This window comes from Homo sapiens, chromosome 1, assembly GCF_000001405.40.
Source record: "Homo sapiens chromosome 1, GRCh38.p14 Primary Assembly".
NCBI lineage: Eukaryota > Metazoa > Chordata > Mammalia > Primates > Hominidae > Homo > Homo sapiens.
The window spans coordinates 164,234,899-164,238,250 of NC_000001.11; the positions used below are offsets into that span (position 1 = coordinate 164,234,899).

General features: G+C 36.8%; 1 annotated feature.

Annotated features, from left to right (window-relative positions):
* Positions 1,980-2,149: an enhancer, noted in NCBI's record as "experimental_757 CRE fragment used in MPRA reporter constructs". NCBI's record gives its function as "activates a minimal promoter by MPRAs in K562 erythroleukemia cells, with activity observed for both the introgressed and non-introgressed 1:164206200 variant alleles {active_cell/tissue: K562}" and the evidence as "EXISTENCE:reporter gene assay evidence [ECO:0000049][PMID:34662402]".

Sequence of the window (3,352 nt, forward strand, 5' to 3'; positions counted from 1 at the left end):
AAAAAACATATACAGCACTACTTTAGCCTGTATACTGCTAAGCTATTCAGACACAAACTTACCAAAAAAATAATAGAAAAAAAGTTTTCAAACTACCACCAATGTGCTGTCTTTTTAAAGTCACGAATAGGCAAATTTTAATACAAAAATATGCATTTAGCAGGAACCAAGATACTTTGTTTTTTAAGGTGTATAAAATTCACAAAGAACATTTTGATACAATTTTTAAAAGTGGCACTTCTCTTTGGATAGTGGAAAGTTCTTATGGAAAACTCTACATCTGATCACTAGGAAGACATATATATCAATGGGCCCCTAAACGATACACAGAGAACCAAAGAAAAAGAGGCAAAGGGGACTGATAATAATGATTGTAAGAATGAGTAGCTAATGCCAACTGCCCATCCAACAAGCCCCAAAATCTGAATGGCTTTAGCATAGCAAAGGTTTATTTCTTGCTCGTGAACGTTCCATGTGGGATAGGTAGTCTTACACCATCTAGTAGAAATGTTTTCTAGTAGATAGCTTCTAAGGTTGTCACAACAAGAGAAGAGAAAAAGGAAGGAGGCATATTGCCATGTAACTGCCTTGGCCTAGACTGTCTCTAACAGTAAGTACAATGATGTATAATTTGCGAGCATACAGAAGAGAAAGTAGAATTAAGTAAAACAATTATCCCTTATGTTACACCTAACATAAATTACCTCACACTAGTCTTTTCTTTTACACCTAGATTTCCCTACACTTAAAATTCCCATTGAGTTGGAGACTTCTAGAAGTAATTTAAGTCGGCAAACATTCCTTTTGTTAGGAATGCACCCTCACTTCCAAATCAGAGAATACCTCACTTAAAATCCCAACAAATATTTGAAACTTTAGTCAGAAAACACAGTGGTTCATGTCTGGTTTTGTTTTGGAAATTTAATTTTTTTTTTTTGACATTTCTGTGAAGTTACTTTTTATAAAGGGAACTCATTTTAGAGGCAAGGGCCTAGGCTAAGAGTGGGAACCCAGGCTCTTTCTTTATTAGCTGGGAGTGGCTGGCTACACTCTGATGAGTCTGTTTCCTAATACAGTAAACAAGACAGAAGGACAGATGATCCACTACAACACTTAAATTTCAAGAATTTTGCATTAATAAAAGACAGATGGAAAATTAACCCCTGGGTAATCTCAAGTTCAATTTTTTTTTTTTTTTTTTGAGATGGAGTCTCGCTCTGTTGCCTAGGCTGGAGTGCAGTGGTGTGATCTCAGCTCACTGCAAGCTCTGCCTCCCGGGTTCACACCATTCTCCTGCCTCAGCCTCCCAAGTAGCTGGGACTACCAGAGCCGCCACCACAGCCGGCTAATTTTTGTAGTTTTAGTAGAGATAGGGTTTCACCTTGTCAACCAGGATGGTCTCGATCTCTTGACCTCGTGATCTGCCCACCTTGGTCTCCCAAAGTGCTGGGATTACAGGTGTGAGCCACCGCACCCAGCCTCAAGTTCAATTCTTATATCTGCCTTCTAGAAAAAAATCTATAATATTCAAATTGAGGAACTTTTTTTCCTACCTTATTTTAAAAGTTCTATACAGGTCAGGAAAGAAAAATCAACCATATAAGAGCAGTAACCCACAATTTTGATAGTTATGCATTATACAATAGTCGTGAGCTATTGCCTAACATTTTTTTGAAAAGGATTAATTTTAAATTAAGCACAACCCACAAACTAGAATTGGACAGCCAATGATTGCAACTCAAAATCATTGCTAGTATCATTGAACAGCAAACAGCCAGCTTATCACAAACAGCTATGCCTCATATTATAGACTAGATAGATATATTCTTAAAAAGCAAGCTTTAAAGAAAATTTAAGTAAATCAAATTTGATTTTTCGCATTGATTTCCATTTAGTTATAAAAGCCAGAATGAATAAATATCTTCTACTTGAGTATTGGTCACAACTAACTTCCCTCTCGATGTTTTTCAGATGTTTCATTCAACAAATATATGTTCCTGACACTATTTTATGTACCATAAATTTTAGTTTCATGTCTGCATTTGCGGGAAGACAAAAGTAAGAAGTCCTCATCTCAGGCACTTTCTATTTTTTATTTCTCATCACTGCCTGTTTTGTTTTTATTGTTGTTCTTGTTTTTTTGTTTTGTTGGGAGTGAGGGTGGTCTCTTTTTTATAATTGTATATCACAGCTTTCTAAGGGTTCCTCATGGAATATTTATATATATATATGTATGTTATATATGTATACATATATGTATTTCTTGTAAAATAAGCCTTTCTTACCCTCAGCTTACAATATCTTCAAGACAACATGATTATATCCAATAATTATTGACATCCTTTCCAACTTTTGTACCCAAGACCTTAATCTGTCAATATAGGTTTATTTAAATACAAGACTGAGCCCCATAGCCACAGCCTAGGTACTGCTTCACCAAAATATGTTCCTAAAAGGATGCTTAGAAAACCCATCCAGTAATGACAGTTTATTTCTAATGCTACGTCAATTTATTTTTCCAAACAGGTTCTCATACTCTGTGGTACCCTCACAGTAGCTCCGGGAGGTTGGGCAGGTCTGTTTAACCACGTTTGGAAGACAAGGAAGAAACCTGAGATAAAAGGGAGCGAGATAAATGTCCTCGTGTCATATAGTAAGCTGACTTGAAGAAAAGATCATGGAAACACCTTGTCCAGTGGCTGGTGTCAGCAGAAGGTCAGTAAGCATTAGCTGAATCTTCACAGCTGCCTTAGCACCTCACTTTATGTCCCCATGACACCTTTGGAGTTACGTGTATATGTCTGTGAGTGAGTGTGTGTATAGAGCGCTGATGTGTTTTTTCTTATCAAAAAGCCAAAGTGATATTTATGATCAGACCATGATTTAGAAAAGATACATTTGACCCATATCCAGTTCCAGAACTGAAGTAATTTCTTTGATCATCTACCTTTAATTACTACATTTTCATATCACCTCAACTCTCACAGTGGCATTGACAGGGAACGCTGGAGTTGCATTCCTGGTTGCCATCGGAGACAAGCCACCCTGTCTGGAGGATGCCTCTCATAACGTTATTTTTTACTCCATCTCATAAAGCCTGTTCTGTATAAATATATTTTAATTAATTAATAAACAGGATGTAATGAATTCTGGCAGGGTGACATTTGAGCACAAAGTGAGGGGCTTAGGCAGATCCTGACATGTGTTAGCCAGGAAAACACCCCACACACATATATACACACACATACACACTCTCTCACACACACTCATGCTCAAAAAGAGTCTTTTTATTCATTGGAGATACTATGTAATAAGGAGTTTCAGAAGGTTAATTTGACATTTGAGAGGAACT